The sequence below is a fragment of the Homo sapiens genome, chromosome 11 (genome assembly GCF_000001405.40).
Source record: "Homo sapiens chromosome 11, GRCh38.p14 Primary Assembly".
Lineage (NCBI taxonomy): Eukaryota > Metazoa > Chordata > Mammalia > Primates > Hominidae > Homo > Homo sapiens.
The window spans coordinates 10,493,866-10,517,323 of NC_000011.10; the positions used below are offsets into that span (position 1 = coordinate 10,493,866).

The following is a 23,458-nucleotide window of genomic DNA, read 5'->3' on the forward strand; positions in this document are numbered from 1 at the left end:
AACTTAAAAAAATATTAAAACACTAAATGATGGTGTAACTGCTATGGAAAACAGTATGGTAGTTCCTAAAAAAGTTAAGTATAGAATTACCTATGCCTCAGCAATTCATTTCTAGGTATATACCCAAAAGAACTGAAAGCAGGAACTTGAACAGATACTCACATACCAATGTTCATAGCAGTATTATTCATAGCAGCCAACAGATAGAAACAGCCGGTGTTCATCAACAGATGAATGGGTAAACAAAATGTGGTATATCCATACAACGGAATATCATTCAGCCATAAAAGGGAGTCAAGTACTGTACATGCAACAACCATGAATGGATTTTTCAAAAGATTATACTAAATCGAAGCCAGACACAAAAGGACAAATATCATATGATTCCACTGATATAAGGTCCCTAGAATAGGCAAATTCATAGAAACAGAAAGGAGAGTAGAAGCTACCAGGGGCTGGGGAGAGGAAGGTATGGGAAGTTAGTGTTTAGTGGGTATAGAGTTTGTTTGGGATGATAAAAAAGTTCTGGAAATGGTTAGTGGTGATGGTTGCACAACAATGTCAATGTACTTAAAGCCACTGGAACTGTATGGTTAAAAATGGTTGAAATGGTAAACGTTGTGTTGTACATGCTTTATTAGAACAAAAAAAACTTTTGTTAAACAAAACATTGAATGATATAATGTGGAGAAAGTGCTTTACAAAATGTGAGTAGTGATAGGGAATGTTCTATTATTCAGTGGTGCAGCCTCTCTGCTCACTAAGTCAGCCATGTCCTGAGCCGAGCTGTGGTAACTTGCAGGTGGGGCCTCTGCTGTTCCTTCACAGGGGGCCTTGCCAAAGGATCCCAAGCTGACCGAGTGAGGATCCATGGTCCTGGTGCTCAGGAGTTTCTAAGGTTTCATGCAAGAATTGACATAGAAGATGTCTTTCGGTGTGGCCATACAGAAGGCCGCCTCGTAAAGGTCTAGAGAGGGGAACGTGCATGGTGGCTGCAGAACGATGCGTTGATTGGTGTGGTCTCCCCCCTCAGGGCCGGCAGACATTCCACCGCTTTGACAAGTTCAACTCCAAATACAACCCTGTGGGGGCCAGTGAGCTGCGTGACCTGTATTTGAAAACTGAAAACTATCTGGGAGGAGAGTACTTTGCTCGGATGGTCAAGGTGAGTGAACCCTCAGTCTCTCTGAGGCCTCTCAGGTGCCTCCCAACATCTGCCTTCAGAGAGTGGGGGCCCTGTGTGCCCCTGGCCCCTTCCCCTCCCTCTGTGTACCATCAGCTCAGGGAAGGGTGAGGTGCCCAGGTGCCCAGTGCTGTGGTCTGGCTGCCTGCTCCAGGCAGTGCTGCATGTGCCAACTGCAGGAAAGAGGAGGGAAGGGTATCCACCTTGGCCAAGCTCACAGCACCTGGCCTGGCTTTCGTGTCTCTGCAGCCTGAACCTAGCTGGGTGCAGATGAGCTCCGTGTGGAGATGCTTCTGCTGTGGCCTGGTTCTGCAGACCCAAGGCCTTCCTCACCAGAGGGGGCCTCTCCTAAAGTGGAACAAGAGCTTACAGGAGCAGGCAGCCCTGGGGATTTAGATGAGTGCTTCCAGCCTGGGAGCAAGGTGGCTGGGGGAGCAACAGGACCCTGCTGGTGACGGAGAGTGAGAGTCTCCCATGTAGCTGGGATGCACTGGGGCTGACCCAAGCTCTTCTTGTGCCAGGAGGTTGCCCGGGAGCTGGAGGAGAGCAAGTACCAGTACTCAGAGCCACGGCTCTCCATCTACGGCCGCAGTCCTGAGGAGTGGCCCAACCTGGCCTACTGGTTCATCCAGCACAAGGTCTACTCTCCCAACATGCGCTGGATCATCCAGGTGCCCCGGATTTAGTAAGTGAGGTGGCCCGCTGTCTACCCTGTGCCCTACAGAGGTGACAATCTGTCCCTCATGGGCTGCTGAGTCTGCACTCCTGAGGGGTAGGGCCTGTTCTGGTGCCAGCTTACGCTTGTCCTTTCCAGGGATTTTTCCATAGAAGGAGTGATGAAAAAGATGTCTGCATGACACTAGAGCTCTTTTTTTTTTTTTTTTTTGAGACAGAGTCTCACTCTGTCACCCAGGCTCTGAGTGCAGTGGCATGATCTTGGCTCACTGCAACCTCCACCTCCCTGATTCAAGCAATTCTTTGCCTCAGCCTCCCGAGTAGCTGGGATTACAGGCACCCGCCACCACGTCTGGCCAATTTTTATATTTTTAGTAGAGATGGGGTTTCACCATCTTGGCCAGGCTGGTCTTGAACTCCTGACCTCGTGATCCACCTGCCTCAGCCTCCCAAAATGCTGGGATTACAGGTGTGAGCCACTGCATCCAGCTGACACTAGAACTCTTGATCTTTGAAAAATATAGATGTGCAAAGGCCTTGGGGGAACTACTACCCCCGCCTTCTTCTCATTGTGGGTTGAGGATGGATTGTCCTTTTGGTGAGCCCCAGGGTATGGGGAGAGCTGTAGTGGTCTACATTGCTGGCCTCTCCCTGGATGTCACTCAGACGGCTGCTGTCCTCTCCAGGCGGCTGGCCAGGGTGGAGCCCATGGCTCCAGGATGGGCTGGGGTATGTGGTTTAGGGAAACAGAGCTGAGTAACAGAATGTTTGGGTCACTGGGAATTTGAGGATTCATATCTCAGTCTCTTGGTCAGCCAGAATGCCACCATCCCATTCCTAGTGGCTTCTGGCTTGAGAAAGTGCTCTGATGGGCATGGGTAGGTGTGGAGCTTGCAAACCAAGGCAGAATATTGCAGACATTGCTGGGAGAGGAGGACAGAGGAGGGATCTGTTTTCTGGTCCCATCTGACTTGATTCTGGGTGTTTGATGGGGACACAGGGTGCCTGAGGAAGTGACTGGGGCTGGTCTCTGACAGGGCAGCAGGCTGTTGGATCCACCTGACAAGCGAGTCTTTGCTGTCCCCCAGTGACATATTTAGGTCAAAGAAGCTGCTGCCAAACTTTGGGAAGATGCTGGAGAACATCTTCCTGCCCCTTTTCAAGGCCACTATCAACCCCCAAGATCATCGAGAGCTTCACCTCTTCCTTAAATATGTAAGTGTGGGTGGTGCCCTAGGCAGGGCTCATAGCGGCAGAGGCAGGAATGGATTCGCTGTGAGCTGGGTCAGGCTTGCTCCTGCCCTTCACGATGGTATCTTAGGTCCTGCCACCTGTGTTCCAGGCGTGGGGTCACCAGCCCCAAGAAGCTAGATTTCTAAAAAGTCCCCTTCTCCTCAGGGGCAGCTCTGGGAGTCAGTGGGTGTGGGGGGATGGGGGTGGTGGTCTTGGGGTAGGCCTTTCCCCCAGCAGGGAAGGCAACAGTGGGCAAAGACTGGGAACTCGGTTCCTGCCAGGTGGGGCTGGAAAGGCTGGATCTAGCCCCCGGCAGCACCAAGCAGCAGCCTCAGGTTTTTTTTTCGGAAATGCAAACACTTCAATTCACCTGCTTTACCTCGCAACAGAGGCCCTCACACCATGTGTGATTAAGTACAAGCCCCTAAAGTGTATTTCCCTTCCGGATCCAGTTGTAGGAGAAGGAGAGGAGCAGTCTGGGAGAGGCTTAACCAGGGAGGGAGGCGGAGGGGGCGGGAGCCGGTCCCACCCTCCGGATGCCTGGGATCGAGGGGGTATCAGATGGTGATACAGGCCAGTGCCTGGTGATGGATGACTTTCTACAGGGAGAGGCACAGCGGGGAGCCCGAGGGCTGGGGCACGGGGAAAGAATTGAGTCTGTGTGCCCAGAAAGTGACTGGACAAGCTGAGGGACATCATCAAATTTATGTTTTAGACAAACATATTCTGGCTGTTGTGTGGAGTTGGCCCAGAAGAGAAGGTAGCTGGAGGTGGGGGCAGGGGTGAGAGTCAGGGGCCTGCCTGGAGACAGGAGGGGAGCTTGACCCAGCGGAAATAGCTCACACTCGTGCGTGCTTCTGCCTGGCCTGGTCAGACGCCACAACGTGATCTCACCTAAGCCTCACAATTACCCCGTTACTATCACCATTTTGTTGTTAACAGTAAGCGGAATTATTATGTGCTTGGTGCGTGTTGGACACGGTGTTGAGTGCTCTCCCTGGATTATCTCATTTAATCCTCACCAAAGCCCTGTGAAGCTGCTAGCTTCAATTGACACACAAGGAAATTAAAACAGATCATAAAGCTAAAAGTGGCAGAGCTGGAATGCGTTTCCAGGCAGGCTGACTCCAGCGATGTACCCTGAACCCCTATTCTATGTTGCCTCCCAAGTGAGAATAGTAAGGTGCACAGCAGCTACCAGCTTGCGTCTCTGAGGTGTGGCAGCGCAGGGACTCTGCACAAAGTGTGGGGCTTGGTGAGAAGCGGTGGGCGTACACCTGGCAGGACCTGGACAGAGACTGAAGGAGGCACTGGGGGGAGTCTAGGATGCCTCCCAGGTGCCTGGCTTTGCAGGAGCATGGATGATGTGCTGTCCGAAGGTTGCTGCCAGCAATGGAGGAAGAGCAGGTATGGGGAGGAGGAGGAAGAGCAGGAGGAGGAGACAACGCATTTTGCACCCGAGGCTGTGGGAGATGCAGTGGTGAGGCCCTGCTTCAGCTGGATAGAGCTCTGAAGAGGGGCTGAAATTATCCGCATGCCAGGCCCCAGAAAGTTCGGGTGAAGTATGGAGCTAGTGAGCACAGAGCAGAGCTCAAGGTCCTCCCTGGCCCCCCAAACCCGTCTAGGGAGTGCTTAGGGTCATAGCAGGGACCCTGTCATTTCCTTTGACACACAGGGCTCTGTGACACGGAAGATTCTGGCCAAGCTGCCTTGCTCCTCTGGGCCTTTGCTGCCCCCATAGGAACAGGAGAGGCCAGCAGACCTGGCTGGGGTCTGGGGCGTGGGCTGGGAGCCCTCCAGTTTGGGCCAGTTGTGGATTAAGGGGGACAGTCTCTTTCTCCCATCTGCTATTCAGAGGCCCCTTTGCAAAGCACTGCCGTGGCCTGGTAGCAAGCCTCCCCTGTGCGCTGAGAGCCCGTACCCTCCATGCATGTGTTCTTGGTTGGGGATGACCCCTGGGATCAGCCAGAAGGCTCCAGTGACTCAGGAGCAGCCCCCCAGGGGTCCCAGCCAAGGTAGAACTGCAGTGGAAGGGTGGGGGTTTCCTGAGGCTACTCAGGCCCATCTCAGAGGGCAGCTCCCAGTGGGGATTGGAGAGCAGAGCTGCCTCCCAGGAGCCATGGCTTAGCCCAGCAAGGACCCTCTTATCTGTCTGTGAGGCAGCTGGCGGGTTTCTCCTGGCCACACCTGGACATGCCCTAGAGTATTCTCTACCTACCGCCCCAAAGAGTGCAGACCCAGAGCCCAGAACCTGTTTTTTTTGTTTGTTTGTTTTTTGTTTTTTTTAGATGGAGTCTTGCTCTGTCACCCAGGCTGGTGCGATCTCGGCTCACTGCAACCTCCACCTCCGGGGTTCAAGTGATTCTTCTGCCTTAGCCTCCTGAGTAGCTGAGATTACAGGTGCACGCCACCATGCCCAGCTAATTTTTGTATTTTTTTTTACTAGAGACGGAGTTTCACCATGTTGGGCAGGCTGGCCTCGAACTCCTGACCTCGTGATCTGCCCGTCTCCTCCTCCCAAAGTGCTAGGATTACAGGCATGAGCCATCATGTCTGGCCAAACCTGGTTTCTTGAGCAACTTTCTTAATTGCTTTGGCCCTGGTTTGCTCAATTGTAAAATGGGGCTGGCAGCCAACCCCTCCCTCCTGGGTTGCTCTGAATATGAATTAACTGACGTGAGTAAAGTGCTTTGAGCAGGGCTTGATGAGTGATGTGTACTAGGACCCTTTTCCCTCATCGCTTGTCGCTGCTGCTGATGGCAATGGCCACTCCTCCCTGCAGGCTGGCCTCGGCATAGCAGAGGGGCAGGTGGTGGCCATGGCTGCTTTGCCCTTCACCTGGCTTGGCAGTTTCCTCCACTGTCACCACCACCACACAGGGGCTTGGCACTCTCCTGTCTCACCTCCAGAGTACCTATGGAAGCTCCGAAGGGGCAGACCTTGGTGTTGTACCCACTTTTCATCCCTGGGAGGAATATGGCCTCAGGCAGGCCAAGGGGTCCCCAGCTGAGGTGTGAACCTGAGGGGCCCAGACCCACAGGCCTCTGGCAGCTATGAGCTCTGGGAGGCTGAACCGAGGCTGAGTCCTGGTCCTGCCTTGGCCTGGTGCTCAGGACCTCTCCTGCCCAGGTGACGGGGTTTGACAGCGTGGATGATGAGTCCAAGCACAGCGACCACATGTTTTCCGACAAGAGCCCAAACCCGGACGTCTGGACCAGTGAGCAGAACCCACCCTACAGCTACTACCTGTACTACATGTATGCCAACATCATGGTGCTCAACAACCTCCGCAGGTGCGTGAGGCCTGCCCTCGCACATGCTTGGGTTCATGTGTTAGTACATGCACGCATGCACACACATGCACACACACATGCATGTGATCCTTGTGTCCGTGTGCACCTGAACCAACATGCATGTCCATGTGCCCACACACCTCAAAACACACAGCACTTTCCAGCCTGCTATATGAGGCATGTCTCCACATGATCACACACATGCAAACATGCCCACCATAACACACATGCCAGTACAGACATATGTCATGTACAGTATGCAATGCAGCCACAGTCCACACGTGTCCACACATTTATATGTACACACACCAGGGCACACTCCACGTGTACCTGTACATCCCTGAGATAATGGAAGCATAGGACATGCTATCACACATGCACGGTCACTTACTGCCACACCAACAATGTCCACACGTGCATATTTTCGTTCAGCAAATCACTGCATCTGGCATGCGATAGGCATTGCCCTGGGCACTGGACAAATAACGGGGAACAAAACAGACTAAATCCATGCATGCCCTTACAGGCAGAGGCTCCTACCAATACGCACACAGACGAGGCACACGTGGCCAGGAGTTAGCTGCCCAGGGCAGCAGGACACTGAGCCATTCCCTTCCCTACAAGTCTTGCATCCCACTTTCCCCTGCTGGGCCCTGGGGTCTCTCTAGCTCAGCCTAAACTGGTGCTAGTTGGTGGGTGTGGAGGTTTCGAATGGGGTCCTGATTGAAAGAAATGGCCTGGCAGGGTGGAGGCAGTCCTGGGCTGAGCTTTTGGAGATGGGGGCTCTGGTTCTGGCTTTGCTACTGACCTGTTCAGTGGCATGGAACATAGACTTCACTCTCCGGGCCTTGGTTTGCCCATTTCCATAACACAGAGGTCAGACTCTGTGGTTTCTCATGGCCTTCCCTGCTCTGGAGTTCTACGAATGCGGGACACAAGGCCAGGAGAGGAATTCAGGAGAGTGGCTGGAGGGCACAGCAGGGTCTCTTTCTACTGCGAGGCCCACTCTCTGCCCGTAGAGGTGATGCTTCTTGGTTCTAAGGGGCCCCAGGGCCTGGACCTCTGCATTTTAGGAGGGGTAGTTTCCAGGGTGCACTGGGTCAGCACAGCTGACCATGGGTGGTCATTCCCCCCGGAGCTGGCCCTGAGCTGTGGCTGCAGGCCCCAGGCAGAGCCAACTGGGGGGGGCCTTCCTGATTCGGAAACCCCTTCTCTTACAGGGAGCGCGGCCTGAGCACGTTCCTGTTCCGGCCGCACTGTGGGGAAGCCGGCTCCATCACCCACCTGGTGTCTGCCTTCCTCACTGCTGACAACATTTCCCACGGGCTGCTCCTCAAGAAGGTAACCAGGTCACTCTCGGGAGCCCGTCCTGAGTGACTGCCCTGCCCTGGGCTCCTGGGAGGCTCAACCAGTGAGGCCAGAAGGCTGGGCCCTCTTCTGGGCTGGGATGTCTGTCCTTATCTTGGTTTTATTTTTAATTATGAAAGTAATATAATCAAACTCATCACAATTTTGATTTTCCAAAAACTGGAGAAATGGAAAAAAGCCAGCCCTTATGCTATTACATTAATAGAAATAGCCATTATTAGCTTTTTAGTATATCTAATTTCCATCTTTTATCCACAGCATATTTTTAATGTGTTTATTATCATAATGAACACAGAATTTGGTTCCTGCCTCGTCCCTTACTGTTGTATGACAAGCATTTTTTGATGCTGCAACGTAATATCTATGCTCCTTTTTCCAAAGGCTGTTGTTGGATGAAGGGTCTGCCACTTTGTCTGTAATTGACTCAACCAGTCCACACTAGTTGGGCACAGAGTCCATCCACCTTTTCACTGGTGTACCCTTGAGCTCTGTGCATACAGTCTTCTCCGTATTTTGGATCACTTTCCATTGGCACGATGTTTGATCAAAATGCTCCCTTTCCCTGATCCCGGTGAGGTGTAACCATGGGTCACATTTTTGGGTGGGGTGGGTGCTACAGTAGAAAACCACTCTATCCTGGGCAGGTCCACCCCTCCCATCCCTTCAGGGATCATCTCCCAGGAGCTGGAGTGTTTATAGTCTCAACCTGGCTGTTTGCAGTCAAAGCAATAAAACAGCTAGAGGGGGGCATCTTCTAGACTGGGTCCGTGCCTAGGAGAAAGGAGCTGAAGGTGTAGGCTGGAGTGGGCTGCCCTTCCTGCCCTGAGCCTTGCCTCCAGTTTGGAGCAAGAATGAGCACTTCCAACAGTGGGTAGAGGCACCAGGGAGGGCTGGCATGCAATGTAGGAATGAGATGAACAGTGGGGAAGGGGAGAGTGGGTCTGAGTGTCCTGGCTTCGAGGAACTCGGGTTGAGGACTTGGGCAGACATGGTTCAGACCCCTGGTTTCCACTGGTGAATGCTTCTTCCCTTCCTTTCTCCCTTCCCTTTTCCCTTCTCCCCTCTCTGGCACTTGTCACATGAGTTCGGTGGTTCTTTTGCAGAGTCCGGTATTGCAGTATCTCTACTACCTTGCTCAGATCCCCATTGCCATGTCTCCTCTTAGCAACAACAGTTTGTTCCTCGAATATTCCAAGAACCCTCTGAGGGAATTCCTACACAAGGGACTGCATGTTTCTCTTTCCACCGATGACCCCATGCAGTTCCACTACACGAAGGTAAGGACTTTGGGGTGAGGACAGTAGTGCTTCAGTAGGCACCAGTCCTAGCCTGTCCTCCCATTTCAGGAACCTGAGCCCATGGCTTAGTTCTGCTTTTGGGGTGGGGTTGGTGGCCCAGTGAAGGCAGGAAGGAAGCCACTGTTGGGGGAAAATTGTGCCATCCAGGAGCCCTTTCTTTGGGGTTCTTGAACCCTCAAAGGCACAATTTAGTATCTTTGCCTTCCTCTATTTTCTCTTTCTTTGACATTTATGAGCTCTGTGACCTTGGTAAAGTTATTAGATTTCTGGATCAAGTTCTTCTTCATCTGTAAAATGGAGATAAAATTTTCTCTGTCCCTACCCTGTAAGGATTCATGAAGATAATGAATCAAAGGTTCTAACATAGTGTCTGCATATATTCAAAATGGTTGCTACTTTTTAAATCAATGCTATTATAATTTCTACACTTTGGGTCTCTGGGAAAATAAAAGAGGAAGCTAACAGTGGTGTCATGCATGGGGACTAGCCGCAAGTATACCCAGCATGTTTTGATGGTGTCGACAAGACCAGCCATTGCTTAACAAAAACAGAAGCACCAGAGTCTTTTAGGACAGAGGTTCTCCAACCTCTTGGTCTCTGGACCCCTTTATACTCTTAAGAATTGAAGCTTTCAAAGACCTGTTGTTTATGTGGGTTATATCTACTGATATTTACCATGTTAGAAATGAATAAGAAATTTTAAAATATTTATTATCTCATTTAAAAACCACATCAATAAACCAATGAAATGTTACATAATAATGATTTTTTTTCTGAAAAGTAACAGTTTCCCCTGCCTTTGTTTTGCATTTTTAAGCCTCTTTAATGTCTTAATGGAAGTCAGCAGGACTCTTCTAGCCACTTCTGCATTCAATTTGTTTTTAATCAAAATATGTAAAAATAGAAATCTTGCCTCATGAAAATACATAATTGGAAAAGACAAGACCTTTCAAAAGGTCTTAGGACCCTCAGGGGTCCTTGACCTGTACTTCGAGAACTATTGCTCTAGGCTACAGCGGCAGTGGGGTGGGGAAGAGGTCACAGACGGCTTGTGATGAATAGACACTTCACATCCCAGAAGGGAAGCAAAACCACAGCTCAAACCCAGATCATTCTGGGATTACACCATTTTACCACTTATCCTATGATCACTTCTCATTTTTTTTTTGATGTTCCATCTCTGCTTTTAGTACTTTACTCATCTATCTATCTATCTATCTATCTATCTATCTATTTATCTATCTATCATCTATCTATCTATTGCAAACTTAAGAAAATAGTGTGTTAAAAAGAAAAGCTAGAGGGCAAGTGCTAAATGTGGCATGACTAGAGGGCTTGTCACAGGAGAGCAGAGACTGCCATCCCTGATGACTGGCACAGGGTTTCAACATGAGGTCTCAGTGCTGGTCAATGAATAAATGTAGAGGCGTGATTTTAGATCTCTCTTTGATAACCCATGATTTTACAGAAGAAAAGATCTTAGGCTTTGAAGGTGTGATGTTTGATGATCCAGGTGCCATTTAGTGAGGAAAAGTTAAACCCGCAGTGTCTGATGTTGTTAGCTTTGGACATGTGTGAACGATTGACATGGATATCCCCCCTTCTAATCCACATGCTTTGGGGGAGGATCTAGGAAGCACTTATGGAAGAATATGCCATTGCAGCTCAAGTGTGGAAGCTGAGCACCTGCGACCTGTGTGAGATCGCCAGGAACAGCGTGCTGCAGAGCGGCCTCTCGCATCAGGTATGGAGTGTGACGGTGCTGCCTGTGTCCCTCCTGGGAAGGCTGCCTGCTGTGTGCCAGGAGCCTTCCAGGCACTGGGGATCTGTGATGAACATAGCAGGCAGGGCCTCTGAGACACTCAGGCACAGGGAGAGAAGACGCGGCAGCCTCCTGTGTTTTCATGGCTGCTTCCTCACCCTTCTCAGACCTCTACGCCTCCTTGGAGAGGCCTTCCCTGATCGCCCATTCTAAAATAGCCACACACTTGCTATTATTCTCTATCCCCTTAATCAGTTTTTCTCCATACCATTTATTCCTGCTGATGTTTAGTTATGTGTTTTTCTGTCTTTCCCTCTAGCATGTAAGCTCTGTGAGGGCAGAGGTTTGTTCAGAATTATATCCCCGGGCCCTAGATAGTCCCTGGCACATAGCAGGCGCTCAATATTTCTTGAATAGATGAACAGTATCTAGACTGAATAAAAATCTAGACTATGGGACTCAGACATCTGTCATTTTTTAAAAAGCCTGATGAGGAGCTGGCACTGAGACCCATGTTCTGATGTACGTTAGGTCCCCCGACACCTCCCTGGGTGATGTCACTGGTTGGGAAGAGGTTGCATTAGGGGCTGTGCTCGTCGGATGATGATGCAGCAGAGTTAAAGGCTTAAGATTCTTTTCATGCGCAGTGTGGTGCCTTGGATTGGCCCTCCCCAGGAACATTGTCCTTGTCAGCTCTCAGGGGCTTCTTAATTAGAGTCTTACCTCCTTCCCCTTTGCCTTTCCCATCCCCAGCAGCTGCTGCAGACCTTATCTTTCCTCTCTGATCAAGGAAAGCACAGCCAGGAATGAAGGGCTGTCTGAGGATGACTGAGGTTGTCAGGGTGACATCCTTGAGGACACAGAGGCCAGCAGGAATTTTAAGAGTTCTGTGGGGATAAGATGTCCTGACCAAAGATCTGCTTCAGGGGGACTAGTCTGACTTGCTGTGACTGATGTCAAAGCTGCCCACATGGCTATAGAAAGTGAATCAAAAGTATATAGTTTCATTTGTATTTCTCTTGGTCCACAGGAAAAGCAAAAGTTTCTGGGACAAAATTATTATAAAGAAGGACCTGAAGGAAATGATATTCGAAAGACAAATGTGGCTCAGATCCGGATGGCATTCCGATATGAGACCTTATGCAATGAGCTCAGCTTCCTGTCTGATGCTATGAAATCAGAAGAGATCACCGCCTTGACCAACTAGGTCCAGCATTTGACATGCATTTTAACTTTTTGGTTCAATTTCAAGTCTGCTGTGGCTAATAGTGGTCAAGATTCCGAACTAGGACTTTCCTCTGTGAAGAGGATGCCTCTGAAGAAATTTTAAACTGGTGATTTTGGTTGCACTGCTCACTTTAAGAGTTAACATGCTCACTTGTTAGTATTTCTGAGTAACAAGATGGTGACTTCTCCTTGGGGATCTGGGAGCTGAGCACTTGTCTATACTTGTTCCTAATTTTCCAAGTATTTCTCTTGAAACTGCCAGTGCCTGAACTGTTGGGGCCAGGATTTTCCCTGGTCAGATGCCAAGTAACATGTGGTTTTCTGCCATACTTTTCTCCATTGGCCCAGGTAGGCTAATTGGTAGTTGTTCATTTCAGCCTCTGGATGGCTGGCTGCCTTAAACACAATCAATTTCAAAGCTCCATTTCATAAAGGGGCTACTTTGAAGGAGTTAAGATGGAAGACTTCCTTCTTGACAAATTGTGTTTTTAGTGAATTTCTTAAACCGTTTTATTTAGCCCTCCTTCCCTCTTTCTAGTTGGAAGCCAAATGTACTCATGAAAACAGCCACTCCTATTCTGAGTCTTGGTTTCTTCACCTAGAAAGTGAGGGTTTGGACTAGATGAGTGGCTTTCAGGGTGTTCTGTGAATCTCCTCATGAATACTTTAGGGTAGGGGAGGGAAGGGAGTGAGTGATGCTCAGGGGCTGTCAAAGTGACTGCGTTCATCAGTTTTACACTGGGGCTGCTACATAATATTTTCATTTGAACGAAGAACTTCAAAAAGCACAGGACTAGATGATCTCTGTTCCTTTTGGCTCTAATATGCTACAACTGTAGGCCAATTATCACTTTACCAATTAAGAGTTAGGCCAGATAAGTGAAATTTAACTTAAGGGCACACAGCTAATAAGTAATAGGCCTAAACTGGATTTCCTTATTCCAAATCCTGTCTTTTCCCCACTATTCCATTAGACCCCACAAATGTTAGTTGTGTGTGTGTGTGTGTGTGTTTTTAATCACTGTAACCGGATGCATTTTTTTAAGGCAAAATTTCTCCCTTATCTACTATGATGACTTCAGAAGATACAATGGTCCCAGGGGCCAAGTAGAAAGCATTTTTAAAGATTAATCTGAATTAAGCTTTATCAGTGTACTCTTTATCTGTGTTACTAGTGCCTGGTATGTAGTAGGTGCTCAATAAATGCATATTGAATAACTAAGTGAATTTCTTTTGGCAACTTTTTAAGGACATGTGCTCTTAGTACTTAAGAGGCTGCTCAAGGACCTTCCTATCTATTTCTGTGGTCAAATTCAGACTACAGGAGGTCTTTTTGAATCATTATAGTTAGAAGAAGAATCCAGTTTCTGCCTGTGAACTTATTTGACTTTAGATTGTCTCATCTTGTGACTTTATAATGCCTGTCCCCTCCACTGGTCAATTCAGCATATGGAAGTATAAATGCAGTCTTTTTACTAGGCAGATATATATGCTATCTTACAGCTAATTATGAAATTGAATGAAAATCCATTGTTATCTTAGGGATTAGTTTTGAAAAGCCCCCGTTTATATACATTTGCCCTAACATAGGAAGTATTGTGTAGTTTCTCATTGTCATTTTATCTGTATCAAGTATCTTTTTTTAAATTGTTAAATAAAGTCAGCTAGGACTGTGGCTCAATAGTTTAAAACTATTTAAAGATAATCATATTTAAAGCAAATGTTAAAGATTTTTACTCTTAAGATTGGGCACCATGAAAAGCTATCAATAATAATAGCTAATTTATCTTTTACTAAGACTCCGACATGAATGACATTCACTAGGAAAACTCAAAATTTTCAAACTGAAGCTCACCAGACCCAGAAGATAAATCTTCCTTTGTTATTTTCTCTAACTTCTACCCTGTTATAGTTCATGAGCAAAGCTATACATGTTCCTTTCCTTTTCCCGGGGTATTATTTTAGTCTGTCCAGCTAACACCTTGTTGATATGGACTCTAGAATAGGATTGCGCTGTTATCCCTAGGGTAACTTGTTCCGTTGGTCAAGTTATTGGATCAATTAAACGTGGTAATTCGCTTTGACTGGTGAAGTCTCGGCATGTGTTGCTCGGAGGTCGGATTGTGCTCCGAGGTCGCCCCAACCGAAATTTTTCACGCAGGTTTGATAGTTTAGGGCCTGTGGACTTGTTAAGTGTTGTTTGCGTTAATGAATTAAAGCTCCATAGGGTCTTCTCGTCTTGTTATACTATGCCCGCCTCTTCACGGGCAGGTCAATTTCACTGGTTGAAAGTAAGAGACAGCTGAACCCTCGTGGAGCCATTCATACAAGTCCCTATTTAAGGAACAAGTGATTATGCTACCTTTGCACAGTTAGGGTACCGCGGCCGTTAAACGCATGTCACTGGGCAGGCGGTGCCTCTAATACTGAGAATGCTAGAGGTGATGTTTTTGGTAAACAGGCGGGGTAAGATTTGCCGAGTTCCTTTTACTTTTTTTAACCTTTCCTTGTGGGCATGCCTGTGTTGGGTTAACAGTGGGGGTAATAATGGCTTGTTGGTTGGTTATAGATATTGGGCTGTTAATTGTCAGTTTAATATTTTGGTCTGATGTAGGCTTATGCGGAGGAGAATGTTTTCATGTTACTTATACTAACATTAGCTCTTCTATAGGGTAATAGATTGGTCCAATTGGGTGCAAGGAGTTCAGTTATGTGTTTGGGATTTTTTAGATGACAGGTGTCGAGCTTGAACGCTTTCTTAATTGGTGGCTGCTTTTAGGCCTACTGTGGGTATTAAATTTTTTACTCTCTTTACAAGGTTTTTTCCTAGTGTCCAAAGAGCTGTTCCTCTTTGGACTAACAGTTAAATTTACAGGGGGATTTGGAGGGTTCTGTGGGTAAATTTAAAGTTGAACTAAGATTCTGTCTTGGACAACCAGCTATCACCAGACTCGGTAGGTTTGTCGCCTCTACCTACGAATCTTCCCACTATTTTGCTACATAGACGGGTGTGCTCTTTTAGCTGTTCTTAGGTAGCTCGTCTGGTTTCGGGGGTCTTAGCTTTGGTTCTCTTTGCAAAGTTATTTCTAGTTAATTCATTATGCAGAAGGTACAGGGATTAGTCCTTGCTGTATTATGCTTGGTTGCAATTTTTCATCTTTCCCTTGCGGTACTATATCTATTGCGCCGATTTACAATTTCTATCGCCTATACTTTATTTGGGTAAATGATTTGGTTAAAGCTGTTCGGTAGTAAGGTGGAATGGGTTTGGGGCTAGGTTTGGCTCAGAGCGGTCAAGTTGAGTTGAAATCTCCTAAGTGTAAGTTGGGTGCTTTGTGTTAAGCTACACTCTGGTTCGTCCAAGTGCACTTTCCAGTACACTTACCATGTTACGACTTATCTCCTCTATATAAATGCGTAGGGGTTTTAGTTAAGTGTCCTTTGAAGTATACTTGAGGAGGGTGACGGGCGGTGTGTACGCGCTTCAGGGCCCTGTTCAACTAAGCACTCTACTCTTAGTTTACTGCTAAATCCACCTTCGACCCTTAAATTTCATCAGGGTTATCGTAGTTTTCTGAAGTAGAAAATGTAGCCCATTTCTTGCCACCTCATGGGCTACACCTTGACCTAACGTCTTTACGTGGGTACTTGCGCTTACTTTGCGGCCTTCGTCAGGGTTTGCTGAAGGTGGCGGTATATAGGCTGAGCAAGAGGTGGTGAGGTTGATCGGGGTTTATCGATTACAGAACAGGCTCCTCTAGAGGGATATGAAGCACCGCCAGGTCCTTTGAGTTTTAAGCTGTGGCTCGTAGTGTTCTGGCGAGCAGTTTTGTTAATTTAACTGTTGAAGTTTAGGGCTAAGCATAGTGGGGTATCTAATCCCAGTTTGGGTCTTAGTTATTCTGTGTTCAGATGCATTAAAGCCACTTTCGTAGTTTATTTTGTATCAACTGGAGTTTTTTACAACTCACATGAATTTTAGCTTTATTGAGGGGAATTGATCTAAAACACTCTTTATGCCGGTTTCTATTGACTTGGGTTAATCGTGTGACCGCGGTGGCTGGCACGAAATTGACCAACCCTGGGGTTAGTATGGCTTAGTTAAACTTTGGTTTATTGCTAAAGGTTTATCACTGCTGTCTCCCGTGGAGGTGTGGCTAGGCTAAGCGTTTTGAGCTGCGTTGCTGCGTGCTTGATACCTGTTCCTTTTGATCGTGGTGATTTAGAGGGTGACTCACTGGGGCGGGGATGCTTGCATGTGTAATCCTACTAAGAGCTAATAGAAAGGCTAGGACCAAACCTATTTGTTTATGGGGTGATATGAGCCCGTCGAAACATTTTCAGTGTATTGCTTTGGGGAAGTAAGCTACATAAACTGTATGGGGTGTCTTTGGGGTTTGGTTGGCTCGGGGTATGGGGCTAGCAGCGGTGTCCTGCAAGCTTTTCTGACATCTTTTCTATAGCACTTTGTGCTTTTATTACATTGCTATACTTAATTGGCCTTTTGGGGGACAAATCCCTACTTTCCTTTGTGTTTGCAACTGGAATAAGAGGCAATTAATTGTATACTGGCTTAGGTTTCTAAAGCAACAGTTTTTGAGGCAGTTATCCCTTCTTTATCCTTAAGGGCTCAAGTTCACTTTATGTGTTACTTCAAATTGTACCGCTGAAACCGATCGACATCATTGCTCTTTGCCTCGTGAAAACAAATCACAGCTCCTGGGTTGTGATTTTTCACGGCCTCTTGGATTAAACAAGAGCCGAAAGCACTTTTCTCTTGCTTTCTCTTTACTTCTGAGTGTTGGTGAAACAATATTCTTCATTTCCTGCGTTTGAGACATGACTGAAGGTGATATACCCAAATACTCTGCCTGAACTATGATCATTATAAAGAACAAGTGTAACTAGGGGAATACTAACCAGATAAACAGTTCCTTGGAAATTTTTGCAATTAGTAAGATAGAAGATGACAGAGAGTAAGACTATAAACAGCTGCAAGCGTGTCAAAACCTATCTCTGCAAAGGCTTTTATGTATTTTGACAGTAAAATGTGCATTTCTCCACAGTATGATGATACAGTCAATTTAACTACCAACTGCCACTCATTCTTATGTCCTTGCACTTTTCAGCACTAAGATTCTACGATGTTTCTCTAATTACATTCTTATATTTTGGAAATGATTTTACAAGGTAAACAAACTACAATAGGGTTGAGCATTTTATTTTTGCTGTCTGTTGGGGTAGGGGTCCACAACCCCTGGGCTGTGGACAGTACTGGTCTGCTGCCTGTTAGGAACCAGGCCGCACAGCAGGAGTTGAGCCGCGGGCGAGTGAGTATTATTGCCTGAGCTCCACCTCCTGTCAGATCAGCAGCGGTATTAGATTCTCAAGGAGCATGAACTCTACTGTGAACTGCGCATACGAGGGATCTAGGTTGCATGCACCTTATGAGAATCTAACTAATGCCTGATGATCTGAGGTGGAAAAATTTCATCCCGAAACTATTCCCACCCCAACCCTGGTCTGTGGAAAAATGGTCTTCCATGAATGCAGTCCCTGGTGCCAAAAAGGTTGAGGACTGCTACAGCAGGGTGAATAGACATACGAACAAATGAGTCTGTTGTCAGCTGCTTAGGTTTGTATTGTATCGTCATTGTGTGGCCCAGCATGAATGTGAGTGACCTGTTAACTTCCCTCATCTGCAAGTAGTTTTCTTATTCCCGGATAGACTAAGCTTGACTTCAGACAATAGCAGTTAAAAATGCAAATTCTTCAGACTACCTTTTAATAAACTCAACTTCCCAATGTTAAAAATCACTGAATCAAAAGATATTTTCAAGCAGCCTTTTCTCCCAGATATATATTAGATATAAGGAAATCGAGTCCAATTTGAAATGAATTTTAAAACAGCACACAAACATCACAAGCCCCCAGCGCACAATATAAAATAGTTCTCTAAGGAATATAAACATTTAGTATATTAGAATGTGAAATTACATAGGAAAATAATCTCTTCAATTAGCTAAAATCACTTGCGAAAGATTATTTATTGCACAATTTATCAGTGGGTACTAAGAATAACACAGATCCTATTATTCTCAACCTCTAAATTCAGTACATAGTAAAATTCATTTTCTCAAACTAAGGTTCTATACATAATCGGAGTAAACCCTCTGTTACTGAGTTAGGATAGGGAAAACAAATTCCTTAGAGTTCATGAAACCACTTCACAAATCCTAGAAGGCACACATTATATTTCCTATCATAGTAAGTACATTTAAGTACTTCATATTTAAAAAAGACAAAGCTGTACAGAATACAAAAAGTGTACATTTCATCCATTAAACAAATTTACAACTTTTACGATTAGTTATTACAGTAGAACTGACCTAACATTCACATCTAAATAATTATCACCCAGTTCAATAGAGCGAACAAAGAGCTGTGCTCATTTATTTATTTGATAAGGCTAATAACATTTTATATTCACAGTAGATCAGTAAGTGTCTTGGAGCTCATATTGTAAAATAAAAAGGTTTGGGCCCTATTGAGTCACTGGGCTCATTGTTAAATAACTCCTTGAAAGGTGAAGGATTCTGGGGGATAAAATCATTGGCTATCCCTGGAAAGATCCAAAACTCTGTAAGGTAACTCTGTTCACTTTTCAGAAACATTTTAAAATTAGGTAATCTGAATTAAACTCAGCAAGTCTAATCTAAAAGGACAATTTAAAATCTTAGAGCTGGAAAAGATTTCAGTGGATCATCTATCCCAAGGTTTTCAAAATATGTTCCATGGAATACTAAGAATCTATGGAGGAGATACAGGGTTCTGCAAATTTGACTTGAATTTAATTAAAAAATTTTTTTAAAAAAAACGACTCCCACTATATGTGTGTTACTCACCAAATTCAAACATGCTGGATATCACCAATGCATTAATGTTTTTATTCATTGACTTAATCACATTTATAGTATATAAAGTTTATATAATAAGGAAATTTATAATAATATGACTTTTATATAGTGGGGTATAGGGTATGTGTGTATGCACACGTGTTTAAAGGTTCTGTAAGATTTTCCTTGAAAAAGTTTTTGCTGCTGAAATAGTGTGAAAACCACAAATAAAGTCTCAGTTTCTAAAGTAAGAACACATAAACAAGAGTAAGAGACTTTCTCAAGGTCACACAACCACCAAGTGCATTGCCAGGTTGATATGATGGAACCCCTGGTACTCTGCTTGCATAAACCTCCATAGGGAGTAGTTAGCTATTTGGTACTTAGCTGTCCCATTATGAATGTCAATGGATTAGTCTTCAGTATTTTTGGGGGCGAAATCAAGCTACCCCTGGCCAGATGTTTTTCCTTGAAATTGATTTGAATTTTATTTGCTCGCCTATTAAAATCCTACTATCCAGAAATTCTGTCATCAATAAGTGGCAACTTAAATTGTGTACCCTGGTTTAGGAAAATAGTAATATTTGCAACTTATGAATGATAAGTCAGAAAAGTTACATGGAATGTTAAATTTTAAAGGAGATAGGCCCTTGTTTTATTACATGCCGAAATGTTAATGTTAGAAATTTTAGTTCATAAGCAAAAAAAATGGTTGAGGTGCAACTGAAGATCACAATTCCATTATTACTATATTGTTTCAGAATATTTTAATGGAAAGAGTATTTCAATGGAAGTACAGTGAAACAGTAGGAATGCCAAATTATCTTCTAATTTTCATAAGTATTTTATGTATATACGGTAAAAAAGCCTCACTCTATTTTCTTGTGTTTTTTTTTTGATTAGGAGTCTCGTTCTGTCTCCCAGGCTGGAGTGCAGTGGTGTGATCTCGGCTCACTGCAACCTCCACCTCCTGGGTTCAAGCAATTCTGCCTCAGCCTCCCGAGTAGCTGAGATTACAGGCACCTGCCACCATGCCCAGCTAATTTTTGTATTTTAGTAGAGAGAGGATTTCGCCATGTTGGCCAGGCTGGTCTCAAACTCCTAACCTCAAATGATCCACCCACCTCGGCCTCCCAAAGTGCTGGGATTACAGGTGTGAACCACTGCACTGGCCTCTTGTCTCTTAATCTAAGAAATTTGAGGACTCTGAAATCTCAGAAAGATGTTTTCAAGTTAAGGAAATAAAAGCACCATAAACCAATATTAAATGACCTATAGTAATTTAGAAATATAAAATTTAGTATTTGTGATGCAGAATAATTTCCTTCTGAAACTCCAAGATGTGTGAGCATTATCAAAGCCATTTAGAACAGTTACCCAGCTGTGGGAAAGCATTTCCAGAACAGCCAAGAAAATTCCCCAGGAGAAATCCATTTGCAAAGGAAAGTCACACCCAATTTTGTAGACCTCACCCAAATTATACAGTATGGCAAAAACAAACAAACAAACCTTTAAGTACAGTAGTTCCAAAACACACTGCTAAAGTTATGAAATAATTGTGGATCATTTCAAGTAAAAATTATTAAAGGAGCAATAATTAACCACAAGGGGGCATATATATATATACTCCTTAGATTCCAGCAGAAAGACTAGTTTTAAGTAGTAACATGCACGTTGAAGTATTCTACATTTTCAGTCACTTAAACTTTCCTCTCTCAGATGGCTACAACTTTTTAATATTCGAGGTTTATTTTATATCTAAGTAAAAAGATTCCAGAATACTCCTGCCCTGCAAAACAGTAGTGTTTTAGAAGCCTCTGGAAGTGTTGCTGTTACCTTTAGCAAAGAATTCAAGAGCTATTAGTTGTAATAATACAAATTTGAACAGATAAATAATAGGAAAATATGGTCTAAAACAGTAGCAAATTTTAGTACCACAAATGGAAGACATGGGAAGTTTATTTTTAAAAGGGGGACAAATGATCAGAATAGCAAAAATAAAAGAGTGGGGAAAATGGATTTTCCTGTGTCTGTGCCAGTGCCACAACCCTACATTCTTCCCCCATGACCAAATATTTGAGCCCACAATAGCAACAGAAGACTTTCACTTCAAGGTCATGGCCTGTGGGGCTGGCCTGCCTCATCAGCCATGTTAAGAATATAGTTAGCCATATCATCTTCAGTGGGTGCATCTGATACCACCCAAGATTCATTTGCTCCAGTCATCTGTAGGCGACAAATAGGGCAATTCCTGTGTCGATCACTCCTATTAGAGAAGTCAAAACAAAACAGTTTGCTTTCTTCTTTTTTAAAAACAGGATTTTATTTAAAGTAATACATGCACATGGCTTTTAAAAAGGAAATAGCATAGAAATATATAGTGAAAAATAAATCCCTCCCTCCTATCTCAATCTTCAATTCTCTTTCCCAGGGGCAACCACAGTTACCAGTTTCTTATATATTCCTCCAGAGATAGACTAAGCTGGATTAAGCTTATGTGTACACACATGCACGCACGTGCACACACACATTTCTCCACTTGTCAATATATCTTACAGACTAGTATGTATCAGCACCTGTTAGAGCTGTTTATTCTTTTTAACATACACTGTATCGCTATGCCATAATTTGTTTAACTAGTCTCCTGCAGAAGGACATTTAGTTTTTTTTCCCATCTTTTGTTGCTACCAACAATGCAGCAATTCGCATCCCCATACCTAAACAGGTAAAGTATTCCTTTATAATAAAAATTCCTTCTGAGTCCCAAGAGGAAATTCCCTCGCATCAATGGAAGATTTGGTCAAAGTGTCAAGTATAAATGCTTATTCGTGATTATTTAAATGGAAGCCATTACTCTAGGAATAACTTCTTGGCAGTGGCAGGGGAATATGACAAGAAGAAAGGATATTATTAATTATTTTTCTAAGAAATATCTACATGACTTTCAACAATATATCTACCTGTTGCTTGCTTAAAGGTCTGAAAAAATTCCTATGGCTCATAAGCAACAGGAAGACTTATATAAAAATGGAGCATACAAAGTTAAAAGATAAACTTTACATGCACAGTAATTTTTCTGGCAGGGGAAGAACTCATATATGATCACTTAAATAAGATTATGTTTTCGAAAAGGATTTTTTTCTGGTCAAACATTATTTTGGTAATTTAAAAAATACCGTATTTGAGCCAGAGACATATTATGCAGAGAAAAATGTTTTTCTTTTCATCTCTCAGTGAAATCTGGGACCAAAGTAATTATTTGTATCAACTGCTCTTTGGCTTTTATGCAAAAATTTAGAACTCTGTTCCAAAAACTAAATGTGAAAGCTACAGCTGGCATATATTATTTAGGTTGATTTCTAGTTCTTCAGAGGTATTTTACAAGATAATTATATGTATGCTCTTCTGTGCACAAAACATCACAATTTAAAAATAGTCAACTTCTGTTTCCAACCAACAGAGGCTAGATTTATCTTCCCACCTAAAATTACTAAAACAATGGTTTCATACAATCTTTCAAATAAAGCACTGGCCATCAGACAACAAAGGACAGTGATCCCTGGGACATGGGAGTCAAAGAAGGTGAGACCTATACTTGCCTCAGCTTACAGCCTCGAGAGTTTCTAGCCCCTGATCAAGAAGCGGGAAGCTTGATGGAACATGGCAAACTCCCTGAGCTGAACACACAGAGCTGAGAATCTTGGGGGGCCAAACAGCTAGGGTTTACAGGGCAGGGTAATGGAAAGCTGCACAGAGGGAAAATTCCAGAGGTCTACGGAAGTGTCCCCGCCAGAATACTCAGCAGAGTGCTGATCAGTGTGTGCATGTGAAGACACTACCGAGGCTGAACAATCAATCAAAGGGCTTTGAGGGGATAGTCCCCTAAAGCTCACTGGGCCTGGGATACTGCCTGTTTCACCAGCCAGACTGGAAAACCTCATAACTCTTGGGGTATCAGTAGAGTTCTCTAAAGGGTCTTGCTATTAGTGGGACATAATTAGTTCTAAACTAAATACTGCTCTGGTCCTGCCTAACAAATCACAAAAGCAAGATCCAAAAGAATCAAACTGTTTCCAAGTCACTTAACTATAGTCCAGAAAAAAAGCTCAAGAATATTCATAGGAATACAAAAATATCCAATACCCAAAAAGGTAAAATTCACAAAGTCTGCCACAAAGTCTGGCATCCAGTTGAGAACTACCAGACATACAAAAAAGCAGCAGAAAAATATAATCTATAATAAAGAGAAAAATCAATCATAACCACCCAGAACTAACACAGATATTAGAATTAGCAGATAAAATGGAAAGTTATTATAGCTATATTCTATATAGTTAAAAAACTAGAGGAAAGCTCAAAGATAGTAAGAAGAGACATGAAAGATAATAAAAACCCAAATCAAACTTCTAGAAATGAAAATTATCTGAGGTTAAAAAAATACACTGGATAGAATTAATGGCAAGTTAGACATTGAAGAAAAATGGTGAATATGAAAAGAGATAGCAATAGTAACTATCCAGGAT

General features: G+C 44.5%; 2 protein-coding genes, 1 non-coding gene and 1 pseudogene across 7 annotated transcripts in view, besides 3 other annotated features; 1 reads left to right on the plus strand and 3 right to left on the minus strand.

Annotated features, from left to right (window-relative positions):
• Window positions 1-13,714, plus strand: part of AMPD3 (adenosine monophosphate deaminase 3) — a 57,192-nt gene extending 43,478 nt beyond the window's left edge. For all 5 annotated transcript variants that reach the window (NM_001172431.2, NM_000480.3, NM_001025389.2 and 2 more), the window contains 8 exons: window positions 1,034-1,165; window positions 1,705-1,868; window positions 2,947-3,073; window positions 6,221-6,384; window positions 7,605-7,725; window positions 8,856-9,029; window positions 10,684-10,794; window positions 11,843-13,714. In NM_001172431.2, coding sequence (NP_001165902.1) covers window positions 1,034-1,165; window positions 1,705-1,868; window positions 2,947-3,073; window positions 6,221-6,384; window positions 7,605-7,725; window positions 8,856-9,029; window positions 10,684-10,794; window positions 11,843-12,019 — 1,170 coding nt within the window. In that variant the 3' untranslated portion in view covers window positions 12,020-13,714. The remainder of the gene's footprint in view (window positions 1-1,033; window positions 1,166-1,704; window positions 1,869-2,946; window positions 3,074-6,220; window positions 6,385-7,604; window positions 7,726-8,855; window positions 9,030-10,683; window positions 10,795-11,842) is intronic.
• Window positions 6,204-6,797: an enhancer, noted in NCBI's record as "H3K27ac-H3K4me1 hESC enhancer chr11:10521616-10522209 (GRCh37/hg19 assembly coordinates)". NCBI's record gives its function as "activates a minimal SCP1, AML or CMV promoter by ChIP-STARR-seq in primed H9 embryonic stem cells {active_cell/tissue: H9 hESC(primed)}" and the evidence as "EXISTENCE:reporter gene assay evidence [ECO:0000049][PMID:30033119]".
• On the minus strand, window positions 14,022-15,311 carry MTRNR2L8 (MT-RNR2 like 8 (pseudogene); annotated as a pseudogene).
• On the minus strand, window positions 14,405-14,461 carry MIR4485 (microRNA 4485). Its single transcript, NR_039705.1, has one exon. It is a non-coding gene; the product is annotated as a microRNA 4485 (primary transcript).
• Window positions 15,257-15,551: a silencer, noted in NCBI's record as "tiled region #11145; HepG2 Repressive DNase matched - State 9:DNaseU, and K562 Repressive DNase unmatched - State 11:FaireW". NCBI's record gives its function as "represses a minimal TATA promoter and a strong SV40 promoter by Sharpr-MPRA in HepG2 and K562 cells {active_cell/tissue: HepG2 | K562}" and the evidence as "EXISTENCE:reporter gene assay evidence [ECO:0000049][PMID:27701403]".
• Window positions 17,114-18,024: an enhancer, noted in NCBI's record as "OCT4-NANOG hESC enhancer chr11:10532526-10533436 (GRCh37/hg19 assembly coordinates)". NCBI's record gives its function as "activates a minimal SCP1, AML or CMV promoter by ChIP-STARR-seq in naive and primed H9 embryonic stem cells {active_cell/tissue: H9 hESC(naive and primed)}" and the evidence as "EXISTENCE:reporter gene assay evidence [ECO:0000049][PMID:30033119]".
• The window catches only part of RNF141 (ring finger protein 141), a 29,515-nt gene continuing 23,864 nt past the window's right edge, over window positions 17,808-23,458 (minus strand). The window contains exon 6 of the mRNA NM_016422.4: window positions 17,808-21,201. Coding sequence (NP_057506.2) covers window positions 21,051-21,201 — 151 coding nt within the window. The 3' untranslated portion in view covers window positions 17,808-21,050. The remainder of the gene's footprint in view (window positions 21,202-23,458) is intronic.